General features: G+C 44.8%; 1 protein-coding gene across 1 annotated transcript in view; it reads right to left on the reverse strand.

Annotated features, from left to right (window-relative positions):
* The window catches only part of SLC15A1 (solute carrier family 15 member 1), a 68872-nt gene that overhangs the window by 35251 nt on the left and 15936 nt on the right, over positions 1–17685 (reverse strand). The window contains exons 2-8 of the mRNA NM_005073.4: positions 7792–7808; positions 7317–7398; positions 7072–7213; positions 4861–4980; positions 2753–2852; positions 2444–2534; positions 186–269 (exon numbers count right to left, since the gene is read on the reverse strand). Coding sequence (NP_005064.1) covers positions 186–269; positions 2444–2534; positions 2753–2852; positions 4861–4980; positions 7072–7213; positions 7317–7398; positions 7792–7808 — 636 coding nt within the window. The remainder of the gene's footprint in view (positions 1–185; positions 270–2443; positions 2535–2752; positions 2853–4860; positions 4981–7071; positions 7214–7316; positions 7399–7791; positions 7809–17685) is intronic.

Raw genomic sequence — 17685 nt, forward strand, 5'->3', positions numbered from 1 at the left:
CTCGGAATTGATGTGCCAATCCTACTTTCTTTGAATACTTAGAGCATGTTTAACATCTGATGCCAATTCTTCTCACTACTTTTTGTTGCCACTTGTTACATGCACTTTAAAAAATTAGTCACAATCATTCACGTAGGGCCTGACCTGGTCCTAGGCTTCTATTAATTCAACCGATTTCCACTTACTCAGGGCTACAGCCATGAGAGCAGCAGGAACCCCAAAGGCCAGTGGGTAACAAGCTTGTTTACTGTGAATTCCACATTGTTGAACTGGGGAGAAATGACAAGATTAAAATTGTTATGGCATTGGTAATGAGCATATAGTTCCCATTTGTAAAGATCCCTCACTGATAATTACGTATTGCTTTCACATACTGTTCTAGACATATCCATTTGCCTCACTGACATAATTGCCAGCTAAGTAAAGCAGCAGTGAAGCAGGAGGAGCAGGAGATGGAAACCAGTTCTAATCTCAGCCCCTAAATAGATGGGTGTTCCCAGCTTGGCCAAAATCAGCGGCCCCCTCTTGGTTCTGTGGATTTTCTTTACGGGGGAGATAAAGATGACCTGGATACACTAACTTGATTATATGGGACTCAGTAAATCAAAAGTACACTGGAAAATCAATACTATCTGTTCCTGAATTCATGCCAATCAGGTAGCAATTCGATGACCTAGGGCAGGGGTTGGCACACTTTTCTGTGAAGGGCCCAGCAGTAAATATTTCAGGCTTTGTGAACCATTGGTCTCTGTCAACTACTTAACCCCACCTTTGCAGGGGAAATCAACTGTAGACAATACATCAATGAATGGTCTTGCCCAGATTTCTGGATTCGGCCCATGGGCCACTGTTTGGCAACCTCTGACCAACAGCCATTTTAGCTTTGAAATCCCAGGATTTATATATATATTTATAATAAATAAATAAAAATTATTTTAAAAGTAAGCCTTTGTAAGAAGTCACGGAGATTCCTGGAAATCCTTTCTATGGAATGCTGGCGCCTCCAGGCATGATCTGCTGCTATCAGGGTTTTGCTTTGGTTCAGCTATCTCACAATTCGGGAGAGAAAGAAGTTAACTAGCAGAAGTGACACTCATGCAAATGTTTCCTGTTCATGGCAAAAAATAATTTTCCCCCTATAAAGAATAGAAATTTGTTAGTCAAATCTTTATTTGAACTGATTAATTATCAACTAATTAACAAGTTACATAAAATTTTTGTCACATATTCACTTTATATTTGTAAGAGAGTCATGAACTTCCTTTTAAAAAATTATCCTTTAACAGATTCTATAATTTAAACATGCACCCTCTAGTAGAACATAGAGGTAGGAGAGGTGAGCGAACAGGACACACGAATAAAAGCTGTTACATTTTTATACAAAACAAGTTGGAAAAAAACAAAAAATAAAACAAGTTGGAATGGGGTTTAATTGTCTGTCATCTTCAAACCACTATGCTGTGGAAGAATACATAAATCCCCCTGAAATCTTTATTTCATAATCTAATCTGATTCAAATGTGGACAGGATGGTCTTGTTAGTTTGTCACCAGTAACACCACATATTCCCTTCCACATGGGAAATTCACAAACTCTCTATGGAGCATTAGCAAGCACAAACCTCTGATAGTTACTGACACTGTCCCATTCTCTTTATCTGAGCAGTTCTTTTGGAAATACTTGAGATGATGGGAAAGCAAAGAAAAAAACTTTGCCTTAGCCAGGCGTGGTGGCTCACACCTGTAATCCCAGCACTTTGGGAGGCCAAGGCAGGCAGATCACGAGGGCAGGAGATCGAGACCATCCTGGCTAACATGGTGAAATCCCATCTCTACTAAAAATACAAAAAATATTATCCGGGCATGGTGGCAGGCGCCTGTTGTCCCAGCTACTCAGGAGGCTGAGGCAGGAGAATTGCTTGAACCCAGGAGGTGGAGGTTGCAGTGAGCCAAGATCACGCCACTGCGCTCCAGCGTGGGTGACAGAGCAAGACTCCTTCTAAAAACAAAACAAAACAAACAAAAAATCAATACAATTTTGCCCAGTAAACTCTTCCTAAGTCACAGAAATATCACTGGGGAGCAAAGCTTGAAGGCTAAAATGGCAGCTACGGCCACCAGCTTGGCTTCCAAGGCACCTCTCTTGCCTCTTACCTCTTACCACGAGCATGACTTTGCATGAATAACAGTTTAGGAAGATGGATGCCCATGCTAAGGATGGCTTAGACTCTCCAGTGGTCACTGGGATAAGGGATTTAAATAAGACAAAAAGGAGGTGAAACTCACAGGGAAGGAAGCACTTACTCCAGATTCCAACGTGCATCCCAGCATGTAGCTGACAGCTAGAAAACAGGGCAGAAGGGAAGAACAGAACAAAACGAAGAAGACACGGACTTGGCCTTACTAAAAAAAGACCAACAGAAGTTCCTTTCAGGTATCTCTTACCTCTGAGCATGGGTGTGATGATTGTGGAAAGCAAACTTCCAGCATTAATAGCCAAGTAAAAGATGGAAAAAAATCTGTTTCTTTGTTTCTCCTGCAATGAAAAGGAGAAAGTAAGATGACTTTGGCTATCAATCCACTGAGCACAGGGAGCTGATGATCTCATTTTACTACTAACTTAGTTTTGGTTGGTATCTTACTTTCTAATGTACTTAAAAAGAATCCGATGTAGAACAGACTTTGTGCCCGTGGCCTCTGACTCCTGGATGTGTAGTTCATTCACGTGGGCTCTGGGGAGGCCCCTACCCTTACCTGGCCCTCTTCAAACTGATCTCCACCAAACGCAGACACACAGGGTTTGATTCCTCCAGTCCCGAGAGCTATCAGGGCCAGGCCGATCAAGGACAGCACCCTGGGAAAGACAGGGTGTTAGGGCCAACATGGCAGATCCTCGCAAGTAGAAGGCCTCTCTTTTCCCCAGTTTCCCTCAGTGGGCCTGGCATAGTGACACACATAGAGAAGAAGACAATCTCGCGAGAAGCCAGCTCACAGGAATGCAGCGTGATAGTCAAATGCAAACTTGAACTCATGGGCCTTCAAACTCCTGCCCCCATCTAATAATTTACCATCCGGAAAACATAAAACAGTAGCTTGCGAGCTGAGCAAAGCCTTAGGTTTGGGGTTCTTTTGTAGCTTTATTGTTTCCAGTAAAAGAGAGGATAAATGAAATGTTATTGAACAAATATAAGCATTGTGCCTGGTACAGTCATAACCGACTCATAATAGTCATTAAGTAACATTGGAAAACATGATTTCATTGCAAAGCGGAATATCAGGTTAGGTAGTATGATCTCAGTTTGTTTACAAGGTACAGAAAACTGGAAGGAAATAGACTAAAAGATTTATTGTCATGTCTAGATGGTGGGATTAAGGGTTATTTAATTTACTCTTGTATTTTCTAGGTTATTGCTAAGTATTTTAACTCCTGAGTTGAAAAAAAATTCATAGCATTTATTGACCCTCACTTTGTAGTTTTATTAAATTTACAGGTAGGTACTACAAATTTCTGGTTTTATAGGCATGTATCCCATATCTTCTTGGTTGCTAATGTTGCTTTTAAACACTTAAAAAATTTTATGAGACAGATAAAGTCAAGGAAAATATTGCACAGGTAAAGAATTCTTTAAAAATCATGCTTCCTGAACCAATCTTCCTGAATTGGCTGGCCAAATCACCCCTTTAATCTTGTCTGCCTCTTAATACAACTTGCATTTAATGTTGTCAATCTAAGCATTTTAAAAGACAACAAAAACACGGCCAACTGAATATTATATACAATTTACTCTTGTGAGAATTTTAGGTGTGCTCCAATACGAACTCCATGAAATGAAAAATGAAAAGCTAATATTTCTTGAGCACTGATCACTTGTCAGGCAGTGTTCTAGGTGCTTTACTTGGATTAACCCACAACAGTCCTACACGAAGTAGGTACTATTACAACCAAGGAAACTGAGGCATAGAGGTTAAGAAACTTGCTCAAGCTCACACAACTAGGAAAGGGCACAGCCAGAATCTGGCTCCAAAGTCCATGTTCTTAACTGATATTACAGATTAGAAAACTGAGGCTCAGAGAAGAACACCTCCCCAAGGCCACAGAGCTGCTCTGTGGGAGGGCTCACAGCCACTCCCTCCACCGACACAGTTCCCTCTGGGCACCAAGAGTGTTGCATCAAGAGATCCAGTCTGGACAGCAGTCTGATCAACTGATAAGCCAGCAGTGTGGGGATTGCCGATACTAATTTGAGTTTCTATTCTTCTTTCCCAGCTCATTAGATAGTTTACTTATAGATCAAGGAACTGAAGCACAAAAACAGGAAACTAAATAAATCTCTACAACTAGTCTACTAGGCCAGACTGCAGTGAAGCAAGATTAATCCAGCACATGAGCATTTATCAATAACACCTGCCATCCAGAGCCCAGCACAAATGGCTGGAACAAATATTTATGAAACGGGATTATTGAAAAATAGGCAGAAGTGTGGTACAAGACAGAAAACCCAAGGTCCTGGAGTCCTGAGGACACCTGGCGGTGTGAAGGATCAAGGTCTGTGGGACTTTATATCCCTCCAGGGTAGGTCAAGACCAACATGAATCCCCTGCGCACTGACTGTACTTCACATGGGATATGATGGCGCATGACAGCTGAGCCTCAGAGTGAGCAATGCCTCTAGACAACTGTTAGGGTGGTGACATCCTGAAGACCCAGCTCAATCTATTTGACAGCCTTCTCCATGCTGCCCAAGGGGGAGGAAAAACCTCCTTATGCTCTCAGTGAAGTTCAAGGAAAAAGACGAAGACTTAAGGCATCAAATGCGCACAAGGTGGGAGGGTGATGGGGGCAGCAGTGAGCACCAACTCACACGTGCACAGGAAGGCTGTCGGGGGTGCCATCATGGTTGTGGTCTGTGAGGTCATTAATGGAGCTTACTGAGGTGACTGCTTGTCCAATTGTGTAGACAATGGAGAGCGACACAATGGTCCTGTGTTTCCAAAGATTAAGAGAATCCGAGTTAATTGCACAATAGCCATCCACTTTTGACTCCACCACAAAAGACCCCCTCCTTGAAAGCTTTCAAGAGCCCAATCCTGAATACACTTATTTCTCAAACTTGAGTAACACTGTTAACTCTCAGGAACTCACATGGGCAAAAAGAATAGAACAAAGTTTTGGGCTAGGCATGGTGGCTCATGCCTGTAATCCCAGCACTTTGGGAGGCCAAAGCAGGAGGACTGCTTGAGCTCAGGAGTTCGACACCAGCCTGGGCAACATAGCAAGACCCCATCTCAACAAAAAAATAAAAAATTAGTCAGGTGTGGTGGTGCATGCCTGTGGTCCTAGCTGCTCAGGAGGCTGAGGTGGGAGGATCACTTGAGTCCAGGAGGTTGAAGCTGCAGTGAGCCAGGATTGCACTACTGCACTCCAGACTGAGTGACAGAGCGAGACCCTGTCTCTTAAAAAAAAATTAACAAAATTTTGGCCAGAGGGCCAGGAGAGGGGAAAGATCCGCCTCCTGGGTTAACACCATTCTCCTGCCTTGGCCTCCCGAGTAGCTAGGACTACAGGGGCCCGCCACCATGCCCGGCTAATTTTTTGTATTTTTTAGTAGAGACGGGGGTTTCACCACGTTAGCCAGGATGGTCTCGATCTCCTGACCTTGTGATCCACCTGCCTTGGCCTCCCAAAGTGCTGGGATTACAGGTGTGAGCCACCGCACCCAGCCTATATTTTTAAACAGTAAGAATTACTTATATTCTGATTGGTAATGATATTTGGACAGGAAGTAGACCTTTGGTAATTTTTGTAGAATTCTTTAGAGGTAGTGATTCTTCTTTCTTCTGTCCATGCTACAGTTTGGTTATCTGTCTCCTGCAAACCTCAAGCTGAAATGTGATCCCAGTGTTGGAAGTGGGGCCTGGTGGGAGGTGTGTGGGACACTGGGGCAGATCCCTCATGAATGGCTTGGTGCTGTCCTCATGGTCATGAGTGAGTTCCTGCAAGAGCTAGTTGTTGAAAAGAGCCTGACACTTCCCTCCTCTCTCTCTCTCGCTTCCCCTCTGGCTATGTGATCTCTGCACATGCCAGCTCTCCTTCACCTTCCTCCATGAATGGAAGCAGCCTGAGACTTTCATCAGATGCTTGGTCTTCCAGCCAGCAGAATCATCAACCAAATATACCTTTTTCCTTTATAAATTCCCCAGCCTCAGGTATTCCTTTATAGCAACACAAGTGGACTAAGACAGCCCACGTCATTCCTTTGGCCTGGAAGAGCCTCTACTTCCTTCTTCATTAAGTCCCAGGAAAACTTTCCTGACAACATCCCACTGGGTGTGCTCGTGGAGCCCTTCCTGGAGGGCTGGGTGACTTCTCTCTTTAGTGACCTCACACCATGTGACCTCAAGCAGCGTGAGCCCCTCAGCAGCCAAGGGGGTATTTTAGAGAGTTTCTTCATATCCCCAGACCTTAACTCCATGCCTCACACATCACTAATAATAGACAGTATCCCTGCTACTGTGTCAAGATGTGACAAAGATGCTACATTTGTTTGCATTAGGGAAAAACAAAAACCTATAGATGCTGCTTGCAGTCACTAAATGTCAGGCACTGTTTCAGGCTCTAGGGACAGGATACTGAGCAGAAACAGCGCTGTAAATGCTCTCCTAAGGGTTTGTTTCTGTTTTTAATTTGTTTTTGAGACAGGGTCTTGTTCTGTCATCCAGGCTGGGGTGCAGTGATGTGATCACAGCTCACTGCAGCCTTGACCTCTGGGGCTCAAGCGGATCCTCCCACCTCAGCCTCCCAGCTAGCTGGGGCCACAGGTGTATGCCACTATGCCTTGCTAATTTCTTTATTTTTGGTAGAGATGGGTCTCACTATGTTGCCCAGGCTGGTTTCAAACTCCTGCCTCAGCCTCTCAAAGTGCTGGGATTACAGGTATGAACCATACCACACCTGGCCTCTCCTAAGAGTTTCTGTTCTTTGATTCATCATTCCCAGATTCCACCATTCCCAACTACAAAACCTACATTTACTTTTTCGCTTGTTTGTGAACAAGAAATTTCCAGCCACTCACTTGAACTTTCCCAGCCACGAGTCGGCGATAAGAGCTCCGAGAATTGGCGTCAGGTAGCACAGAGCCACAAACGTATGGTAGATGGCGGTGGACAGGTTATCATCCCAGCTGATGAAATTTGTGAAGTACAGAATCAGGATTGCTTTTGCAGAGGGCAGGTGGAAGAGGAGGGGGAAACAAAGTTAGGACTGGTTATGGCCACTCCCGCTCTTCCCTGAAGGGTGAGAAACGGCCAATACAGTTACCTCGCATTCCATAGTAGGAAAATCTTTCGCAAAACTCATTGACCACGATGAAGAAGATGCTCAGGGGATAACCAAAGAAACTCTGACAAAAAAGAAACAAGCACAGGATTGAAATACACCCCCCACTGGTCCATAGCCACAAAGGAGCACCAGTGGCATGAAAGGCAGCCAACGCAGATTCAGTAACTTACCGGTGACTGTCTAGAGCAGGAAACTAGCATTTAATCATTTTATTCCCTACACTAATCCTTCCACATAGAGACAGCAATGAAATAAAGCATCCAGTGGTATTGTTAGTCTGAGGAGGATTATCCACAGCATTTCCTCAGGAGAGGACATCTCACATGGAAATCCGGGATCATACCCTCACTGGTTCCAGATGTACAGATCTGTTAGGTGAATGAACCCTTAGGGGTAAAACAGATGATAAAATTTACAAGATGAAGATATGTAGAGAAGGAAAAAGGGTACTCACGTGTGATTTGGACATTCCTAAAAGAAAAACAGAATCCCAATATTAAAGTCAAGCCATTACAATAGTTTTTGCTGTGTCTAAACTCAGAGCCTCTGACTTTTTAGGGTGGTCAGAGGGGCCATTCACCAAACAGCTCCAGCCCTCCCTGGGATCCCGGCCCCAGACTCATGCTTCTTATCTGAGGTGGGGCCTGGCATCTGTATTTTCTTTTAAGAAGCTCCTCAGGCAATTCTCGTATGCAGTCAAAATTGAGAAGCAGCAGCTCAGAGAATCAGGCCTAAACCATTTCCTCCTGAAACACTTCAAAGGCCGCCCATCGGGATAAAATCCACACATTCTAGCATGTTCTTCAATATCTGACAAGTGTTTTGGTGGGGATGAAATTTCTGTAATATAAAATGCTTCTGAGTGCCTGACACACTGTGCACACTCAACCGCCACCTCCTATGGCTTGGGCCCTGCCTGCCAGGCTCACCCCATGATTTAAGTCTTGCCACCGATATTCCCTTCCCAAATCATCTCTGATGTGCCTACATCACCATACTGTAATGATGGGCAGTTTATATTTTTGCTTCCCTTCTGGACCAGGTTCTGAAAGCAGAAGAATCATGTGCCATCCATCACACCAACATCCCCACTTTCAACGTCCTGTACAATACCTACCACTGGTAGGGGGTTATGTCACAAGAATGAATGAGAAGAGCAGGAAGAAACAGCCTGAGAATACAAGGGAGCTGGTGCACGTCAAGTCCAGTGGACTCTCCCATGTGCATCCTAGGAGCGCCTCATCCCCATCCCGTCAGCACCTGCTCTTCTGTCTCCCCGGAATTTTGGCAAGAGCTGAGCTGTGCCCTTGTCTCTAGTCTTTACACCTCCTCACTCTGCTCCTACACAAACACATTGCCCTGTGTTCATCCGTGTCTATCACATACTACCCTGTTTCCCACAGGACATCCATCCCCTTCCCCCTCACTCACCCCGATTTCCTTATATTAGAGTTCTTTGTTGCCAGGGCTCCCTGAACATGCTCCACCTCCATTAGGAATCTAGGAATCGGTGACCCCATAGCAGTGGGTCTCACACTGGAGTGTGCCTCAGAATCACCAGAGGGCTTGCAAGAACAGATGGCTGGGCCCCATTCCTGGAGTTGTTGATTCTGTAGGCCTGAGATGGACACTTGAGCTTGCATTTCTAACAAGCTCCCAGGTGTGGGTGCTGCCACTGGTCCAGGCAGTGTGCTTTGGGAATCACTACACTGGAAAATTATTCTTTAGACTGTTCTTTTCCCAGTGTTTGTTCTTGGCAGCTTTGTCAAAAATGAGTTGGCTATAAATGGATGCATTTATTCCTGGGTTCTCTTTTCTGTTCCATTGGTCTATGTGTCTGTTTCCATGCTGATTTGGTTACTACAGCTTTGTAGTATATTTTGACATCAGGTGGTACCTCTGGCCCTATTCTTTTTGCTCAGGATGACTTTGGCTTTTCGAGGCCTTTTGTTGTTGTATATGAATTTTAGGATTTTTTTCTATTTCTATGAAAGTTGTCGTTGGATCTTGTCATTTGCAGCAATACAGATGAAACTGGAGGACATCAGGTTAAGTGAAATAAGCCAGGCACAGAAAGATAGATATCACATATTCTCACTCATATGTAGGAGCTAAAAAATTGATCTCATGGAGGTAGTAGTGGGTAGAATGGTGGTTACCAGAGGATGGGAAGGGTAGGTGAAGGTGGGAGGATGAAGCAAGGTTAGTGGATACAAAAACACAGTTCTGTAGAAGGAATAAGAGCTGGTGTTTGGTAGCACAACACGGTGACTACAGTTAACAAAAATTTATTGTATATTTCAAAATAGAGGCTGGGCGCGGTGGCTCACACCTGTAATCCCAGCACTTTGGGAGGCTGAGGTAGGCGGATCGCTTCAGGTCAGGAGTTCAAGACCAGCCTGGCCAACATGGTGAACCCCCATCTCTACTAAAAACACAAAAATTAGCTGGGCATGGTGGCACACGCCTGTAATCCCAGTTACTTGGGAGGCTGAGGCAGGAGAATTGCTAGGACCTGGGAGGTGGAGGTTGCAATGAGTCAAGATCACACCACTGCACTCCAGCCTAGGCCACAGAGTAAGGCTCTGTAAAAAAAAAAAAAAAAAAAAAAAAAAAAACAACAAGCCCCAAAACAAAAAACAAACAGAATAGATAGCAGATCTGGAATGTTCTCAACACAAAGAAATGATCAAGGTTTGAGGTGACGGATATTCCAAATACCCAGATTTGATATTAACTGTAAAATATTGTATTAATATTAATATTAAATCCAGATTTGATATTAACTGTAAAATATTGTATTAATATTAATATTGTGTACCTCTATTAAAAATCATATGTACCCCATAAATATATATAATTATTATGTATCCATAACAACTTTTTAAATCCTTAAAGCCCTATGGCAACCCCAGTGTTTCGAGCAGCAGCAGAGCTGCCCATATGAAAAGCAGCTCAACTGGAAGGCAAGGCCTGCCTCTGTGGCTGGTATTTGAGAAGACTGACTTCTCTCTGCACCTGAGATTTGCATCTCTAACAAGAGTCAAGGTGATGTCAATGATGCTGGTCTGGGGACTACACTTGGAGGACCACATGCAGGCTGTGATGTCCTGCTGCCTAATGGCTCTACATAAGAGAGTTTTATCACTTCCCTGGTTCCAAACGCCAGAAAGACCACGCCAGCTATCCAGAGCAGACACCGAATACAGGAGCCATACAGCATGCGGAAGCCTCCACCACAGCACCCTCCTCCATCTCCCACATCGTTTCCCTCTGGGGCCCTTCCTTGCAGATTTACTGCCTTATATTTTCATTATGTGCAAGTTCAAAGCCCTATCCCACAATAAACAAAGCCACAACCCTGGCAGAGGAACTCCCTTCCCGACCCTGACCACGGGGCCCTCCAGGCTTCACCACCTCTTCCTGGGCAGGCGCCTTCCCTCCTGATCTGTCAGCCTGTGCTGGTGTTATTTCCACTCCTGCAGCTCGGCGTGGCCCCAGGGGCCTCCTACCAGATGGTCTTGCATTTTTGCCCACTTAAGAGCATTTTAGGGCCGGGCGTGGTAGCTCACACCTCCATCCGAGGTGGGCAGATCACTTGAGGTCAGGAGTTGGAGACCAGCCTGGCCAACATGGTGAAACCCTGTCTCTACTAAAAATACAAAAATTAGCTGGGCGTGGTGGTGCATGCCAGCTACTCAGGAGGCTGAGGCAGAAGAATCGCTTGAGCTTGGGAGGCGGAGGATGCAGTGAGCTGAAATCGCACCACTGCACTCCAGCCTGGGCAACTGAGCGAGACTCCGTCTCAAAAAAGAAAAAAAGGAAGGGAGGGGAAGGGAAGGGGAAGGGAAGGGGAAGGGGAGGGGAAGGGGAGGGGAAGGGGAGGGGAAGGGGAGGGGAAGGGGAGGGGAAGGGGCATTTTAGATGCTCTTTTTAGTCCTTGTCCTAAGGGGGAAATACACTGTACTGGTTTCACAGGACCCCAGTTCCCAACTCTTCCTGCCTATTAGAGTTCTGGACAGAGATTCCTCCGCACGAATAACCTGGTTTCCTGCCGAGTGAGACCTGTCGTGGGATGGGGCTGCTTCCAGGGCAATACACCAAGAGCGAGGGCCATGGAGTCAGCCCTGCGGCCGAGTTTCATGCTGGGACCTGCCAGCTGCATGGCGGGTGAGCCCATCTGTTTCGGGCCAGCCGAACAACCAAATGAGGATGACCTCCGCCCTGCGGGGTTGCTGGAAGAGTCCTGCGAACCCCACAGCCCTCAGTGCATCGTTACGGGGGAGACGCGACTGCCTCAGGGTCCTCAGCGCCTCCGCGCCGCTTCCCACAGAGGGGAAATTCAGTGTTTGTGGGACACGTTTCCTAAGGCCCCGTTTATCAGTCACAGAGCACAGTGCTCAGATCCAGCTCTGCATGGTGGGTCCCGTGGGCCCTTCCAGGACCGTCCTTCTTCTTCAGCTCCCAGGCTGACCTGCAAGGAGCTCATCCATGTCCCGGGTCTCGACCTAGCTCCCAGGTCCTTTGGCCAACAGGGAGCCCTGGGAAGATCAGAGGGAGGGAAGAAACGTTGGGGTATTTGTTTTTCTGGTGCCCTCCCTGCAAGGTCACCTCGGACCGTCACTTCAAGTGACAGTCACGGCTTCTCTGACGTCAGCCCTTCCCACACAACTCTTTCCTTCCAGGTTTCAGTAGCGGTTCCTTCCCCTCATCTTGCAGGCCAGGGGGCAACAGGGAGGCTGCTGCAGGCCCAGGTGCCACACTACCATTTGTTGTGCCCGTCCACAGCGGCATCTTTCTGTGACCAAGCCCTCCTGTGCTGAGCATGGCCTCTGTGTCCTGGGAGGTCCGTGGTGAGGCAGCGCACCTGCTGTGGACTTGGGCTGTCTTTCACACCAGGCAGGGAAAGCGCCAGTGTCCGGCGAATAGGAAGGGCTGGTCGGGCAAGCGTGTGTTTTGCAAGCTCGGTGCAAACCAGCCTGAAGGTGCAAAGCGTCATTGCTGTAGTGCCGTGCGTTCTTGAGGACACGGCAACAGCACGTTATGCTTCGCCTACTTAGACTTTGGGTAATATGGCCTTACCATTGCCTCCCAAAGCCAACGAGAGAGGTGAAGTCACAGAAAGGTCCCTGTTATCCTTGGCCCTCTTCAGGGAAGCAGGAGCGAGCTCTGAAAACCCAAATCACCCAAATCCAGCAGAGAGAGCCCGGGGCTTCATCACAAACCTTCCTTCCCTGTGTTCCCAGGGCTTCATCACAAACCTTCCTTTCCTGTGTTCCCCGGATTTTTATTTGCAGGGAAAGACTTCATCTTTCCAGAGTCGTCCTTTTGTCTTTGCTCAATATTTTGTACCTGTTATTTGCTTAATAGTGGTAAAGTTTTTCTCTACTCCAACCCACTACAGTTACAGAAAAGAGGTCATTCAGAAAGCTTAGGTCTTAACAATCATTATACACCTAACTAAATTATGGGAAAGGCAATCCCTTGAAGTGTAAATCTGAGACTCAGTACCCAGCCATTACCAAGAAGGCATTTTGTTTTCTGAAAGTGTGTATTCCAAGAACTGCTTTTATTATTACAGGGCAGAGGTTGCTAAACTCTTTGACAGAATCCAGAGCTATCTACTGGGTGTAACACTGCAGTCAGCATTTCTTATCTTAATGTACCTGTGTCAACAGGATTGCTATCTTAGAAAGCTCAAATGCAGAAGTGGTGTTTACATCGAGACTTCAGACCGAACTCAAGTATCAACTCTCACAAGATTCTGTTTACTTTGGTGCAGTCCTGTTTACGTTGGTTCCCTGCTAGTAAACCTCAGAGGCATATTTGAGTAGCCTAATGTTTCTAGTATTACTCTGGGGTCCCTTGTGTTGAACTATGATCAGAGCCAAACCCAGCTTAGAATCTGGACTTCCCATAGGACTGTTCCTTAGCACCCAACACATTGCAATCACTGAATAAACACAGGCTCTTCTTGCTATTCTAGGCCCAGAAGTGGTTTTGCTTTCTTTTTGCTAAATAATTTGATGAAATAAGTGTATATTATACATTTATATGATTACTGACTTGGGGGTTGGGGGGGACAGGGAACACAGGAGAAAACAAGAGACTCCCCTCTTCCGCACGACTCAATAAAATCTCCCATCCATATGAATATTTCCTACTATTTATATAAAGCATGCTCCATATTTTGAACCATTTCAGGATGGAAACTCTAACTTTGAAGTCTTATTACCTAAAAATTAATAACTCCCTCAGCAACTGAAGGCTGCCGAGAGTGCATCTCTAGGAGTTGGACTTCGGAAGTTGGAAGGAATGAGGCATTTTGCTGAGGTCTAAGAGAGAAGGCCTCCCTTTCAGGCAGAGAGATAACTGTTTCCTACCATTACCAAGAGTGAAACTGAAGGAATACTGTAAGTTTCACATACTGCTTTGAGGACGTGTTTCTGAACTTTCAAGGTGTGGTGGTCAGAATGGTGGTCCCCTAGAGATGTCCATGTCGTAATCTCTGGGATTCAGGGATACGTTCCCTCCCATGGCAAAAGGGTCTTGCAGATGTGATTAAGTTAGGGGCCTTGAGATAAAGAGTTTATCTTAGATTATCCAGACAGACCCAATATAATCACAAGAGTCCTAAAATCAGTCAGAAAAGGTGAAAAGCAGGGGAGTGACTGCAATTGTTGGGGGAGGGGTCCCCAAGTCAGGGAATGTGGTGGCCTGGAGAAGCTGGAAAAGACAAGTAGGGTTCTCCCCGAGAGCCTTTCAAGGTAGCACTGCCGACACCTTGATTTTAGCCCGGTAAAATTCATTTTGGACTTCTGACCTCCAGAACTACAAGAAGACACCTGTGTGAAGCCACTAAGCTTGTGGTTTTTTTGTTACAGCAGTAATTAGAAACTAATACACATAGGTTTGCCCCAAACTCTGTAAATACAGGTCTTTATAATCACTACTTACATATAAGTAAGACTCAAATTCCTGCCACATTTTATTTGTTGGTAAAATGCTCTCTTTATTAATTTTTTCCTAAACTATATTTTTCTACTTGGAGCTTAGAAGTGCATACCTGGCACCTGGCTTTTAAACTGGATTTGGCAGAATCTAAGCTCTGGTGCTTCCTCTGAAAATGGTTTCCTAAGCCAAGGGTAAAGGAGTAAAGTAGACAAAGTTGGTCCCACAAAAGCCCCAGGAAGCCAATGGTCCCTGCAAGAACACAGCTTGGCCTTGCTAATGGCAAAAGTGGTTTTTCAGTTAAGGAGAGAATTTTCTCAGTATTGCCCCTGCATCTAGCCAGTGGAAAGACATGGGCTTTTGGGAATCAGGAGATCGAACCTCAGTGTAGAGATATTCCTCCTAGCCATGTGGCCTTGATCAAGGTGCTTACCCTCTGGGCTTCCATTTCTTCATCTGCGATATAGTTTGCATGTATGTCCCCACCAAAATCTCATATTGAAATGTAATCCCCAAAGCTGGAGGTGGGGCCTGGTGGGAGGTGATTGAATCACAGGGGTCTAGCACCATCCCTCTTGGTACTGTCCTCACCACAGTGAGTGAGTTCTTGTGAGATCTGGTCGTTTTATTTTATTTTATTTTTTGAGATGGAGTCTCACGCTGTTACCCAGGCTGGAGAGCAGTGGTGCAATCTCAGCTCACTGCAACCTCCGCCTCCCGGGTTCAAGCAATTCTCCTGCATCGGCCTCCTGAGTAGCTGGGATTACAGGTGTGTGCCACCATGCCTGGCTAATTTTTGTATTTTTAGTAGAGACGGGGTTTCACCATGTTGGCCAGGCTGGTCTTGAACTCTGGCCTCAAGTGATCCACTCACTTCAACTTCCCAAAGTGCTGGGATTATAGGCATGAGCCACTGCACCCAGCCTTAGATCTGGTTATTTGAAAGTATGTATCATCGATATAGCTCCCCTTTCCAAGATGGCCAAATAGGAACAGCTCTGGTCTGCAGGTCTCAGCGTGATCAACACAGAAGATGGCTGATTTCTGCATTTCCAACTGAGATGAACCTGGTTCATCTCACTGGGACTGGTTGGACAGTGGGTGCAGCCACGGAGGGCAAGCTGAAGCAGAGTGGAGCATCGCCTTACCTGGTAAGCACAAGGGGTCGGGTCAGGGGATTTCCCTTTCCTAGCCAAGGGAAGACTGTACCAGGAAAAGTGGGACACTCCTGCCTTAATACTGCACTTTTCCAACGGTCTTAGCAAATGGCACACCAGGAGATTAAATAGACGCAATAAAAAATGATAAAGGGTATATCACCACTGATCCCACAGAAATACAAACTACCATCAGAGAATACTATAAACACCTCTATGCAAATAAACTAGAAAATCTAGAAGAAATGCATAAATTCCTGGACACATACACCCTCCCAAGACTAAACCAGGAAGACATTGAATCCCTGAATAGACCAATAACAGGCTCTGAAATTGAGGCAATAATTAATAGCCTACAAACCAAAAAAAGTCCAGGACCAGATGGATTCACAGCCGAATTTAAAGGTACAAAGAGGAGCTGGTACCATTCCTTCTGAAACTATTCCAATCAATAGAAAAAGAGGGAATCCTCCATAACTCATTTTATGAGGCCAGCATCATCCTGATACCAAAGTCTGGCAGAGACACAACAAATAAAGAGAATTTTAGACCAATATCCCTGATGAACATCACTGCAAAAATCCTCAATAAAATAAAATACTGGCAAACCGAATCCAGCAGCACATCAAAAAGCTTATCCACCATGATCAAGTTGGCTTCATCCATGGGTTGCAAGGCTGGTTCAACATATGCAAATCAATAAACGTAATCCATCACATAAACAGAACCAAAGACAAAAACCACATGACTATCTCAATAGATGAAGAAAAGACTTTGACGAAATTCAACAGCCTTCATGCTAAAAACTCTCAATAAACTAGGTATTGATGGGACGTATCTCAAAATAATAAGAGCTATTTATGACAAACCCACAGCCAATATCATACTGAATGGGCAACAACTGGAAGCAGTCCCTTTGAAAACTTGCACAAGACAGGGATGCCCTCTCTCACCACTCCTATTCAACATAGAGTTGGAAGTTCTGGCCAGGGCAATCAGGCAAGAGAAAGAAATAAAGGGTATTCAATTAGGAAAAGAATTGAATAGTCAAATTGTCCCTGTTTGCAGATGACATGACTTTATATTTAGAAAAACCCAAAGTCTCAGCCCAAAATCTCCTTAAGCTGATAAGCAACTTCAGCAAAGTCTCAGGATACAAAATCAATGTGCAAAAATCACAAGCATTCCTATACACCAATAACAGACAAACAGAGAGCCAAATCATAAGTGAACTCCCATTCACAATTGCTTCAAAGAGAATAAAATACCTAGGAATCCAACTTACAAGGGATGTAAAGGACCTCTTTAAGGAGAACCACAAACCACTGCTCAATGAAATAAAGGAGGACACACACAAATGGAAGAACATTCTATGCTCATGCACAGGAAGAATTAATATCATGAAAATGGACATACTGCCCAAGGTAATTTATAGATTCAATGCCATCCCCATCAAGCTACCAATGACTTTCTTCACAGAATTGGAAAAAACTACTTTAAAGTTCATATGAAACCAAAAAAGAGCCCTCTTTGCCAAGACAATCCCAAGCAAAAAGAACAAAGCTGGAGGCATCACGCTACCTGACTTCAAACTATACTAGAAGGCTACAGTAACCAAAACAGCATGGTACTGGTACCAAAACAGATATATAGATCAATGGAACAGAACAGAGCCCTCAGTAATAACACCACACATCTGCAATCATCTGATCTTTGACAAACCTGACAAAAACAAGAAAGGGGAAAGGATTCCCTATTTAATAAGTGGTGCTGGGAAAACTGGCTAGCCATATGTAGAAAGCTGAAACTGGATCCCTTCCTTACACCTTATACAAAAATTAATTCAAGATGGATTAAAGACTTAAATGTTAGACCTAAAACCATAAAAGCTCCAGAAGAAAACCTAGGCAATACCATTCAGGACATAGGCATGGGCAAGAACTTCACGAGTAAAACACCAAAAGCAATGACAAAAAAAGCCAAAATAGACAAATGGGATCTAATTAAACTAAAGAGCTCCTGCACAGCAAAAGAAACTGCCATCGGAGTGAACAGGTAACCAACAGAATGGGAGAAAATGTTTGCAATCTACTCGTCTGACAAAGGGCTAATATCTAGAATATACAAAGAACTTAAATAAATTTATAAGAAAAAAATCAAACAACCCCATCAAAAAGTGGGCAAAGGATATGAACAGACACTTCTCAAAAGAAGACATTTATGCAGCCAACACACACATA

Source organism: Homo sapiens, chromosome 13 (genome assembly GCF_000001405.40).
Source record: "Homo sapiens chromosome 13, GRCh38.p14 Primary Assembly".
Classification (NCBI taxonomy): domain Eukaryota; kingdom Metazoa; phylum Chordata; class Mammalia; order Primates; family Hominidae; genus Homo; species Homo sapiens.